The following is a 1,389-nucleotide window of genomic DNA, read 5'->3' on the forward strand; positions in this document are numbered from 1 at the left end:
CTGTTTCCTTCAGTTTGGTTGAAATCCAACCACTCAGTAAAGACTTACCAATAGGGTTTAGCAGCCTGAATGATAAATTTGGGGATTCATGGCTTATTTGATCTTAAAATACTGCTGATCACAGAAGGCTAAATGCAAATTGGGTAAGATCAGGACGTAGAAGTAGACACTCCTAGTGGGCTAGGACAAGTTCTAGAGCTGTGGTATCCTATATGGTAACTGCTAGTCATGTGTAGCCATTTAATGTAAATTTAAACTAATTAAAATTAAATAAAACAAAACGTTTAGTTCCTCAGGTGCAGTAGCCACATTTCAAGTGGTCGATAGTGATGTTTGACTAGCGATTACTAGCTGGATAGAAGACATAGAACATTTAGTCATGACCAAAAATTTTGTTACATAACACCGGACTAGAGAAAAGTGCAAATGTGTATATAACACAAGGAAGAATTCCAGGCAGGCACTTGGAAGATAGTGTATTAGTTTGCTGGGGCTGCCATAACAAAGTACCACAAAACGATTGGCTTAAATAACAGAAATTTATTTTCTCACAGTTCTGGAAGGTAGAAGTCTGAGATCAAGTTGTCATCAAGGCCAAGATCGCACTGAAGGCACTGGGGAATGATTTCCAGATCTCTCTCCTAGCTTCTGGTGGTTGCTTGACTTGTGAAAGCATAACTCCAATCATCATATGTCATTCTCTGTGTATGTGTGTCTCTCTGTCCAAGTTTCCTTTTTTTATGTAAGAATATCAGTTATACTGGATTAGGAACCCACCTTAGTCCAGTATGGCCTCATTCTAACTAATTGTATTTACAACTACCCTATTTCCAAGTAAAGTCAGGTTCTGAGGTACTGGCAGTTAGGACTTCAAAATATAACTTTTGGAGTTCACAATTTAACCCATAACATATAGTATCCAAGATATATGATGGCATTTATAAAGTGTTAGCCAGGCATCAAGACCTAACATAGCCCAAGCGGTCCAGAAAGAAAGACTGATGGTGAAGAGTCACAATAGACATTTTAAAATTAAATAATATGGAAAGTTTCCGGCAGCAGATGCCTATTATTTCCCTTAGCAGGAAAATAATTTTCTCTCAAGTTTTTTTTTTTCATTTATTATTATTCCTTGCATATTCAGGCCCTGAGATTGAGACTCAAGGATAGAATTTTGGCCCCTTGAAAAAGATCAGGTCAGGGTTCTAAAGAGGCTGAGAGGCTCACTAGCTTATCAAGAATGATACTAAAGGATACAAAAACAAGTCAATGTCACAAATACCAAAAGAAGTTGTAAAAATACAATCTTGAGACCCAAGCAAAAATCCAATTACCATGACTGAAACATAGGTCATGACCTAAACAGTAGAAAAGAGGAATCAATCACCT

Source organism: Homo sapiens, chromosome 11 (assembly GCF_000001405.40).
Source record: "Homo sapiens chromosome 11, GRCh38.p14 Primary Assembly".
Classification (NCBI taxonomy): domain Eukaryota; kingdom Metazoa; phylum Chordata; class Mammalia; order Primates; family Hominidae; genus Homo; species Homo sapiens.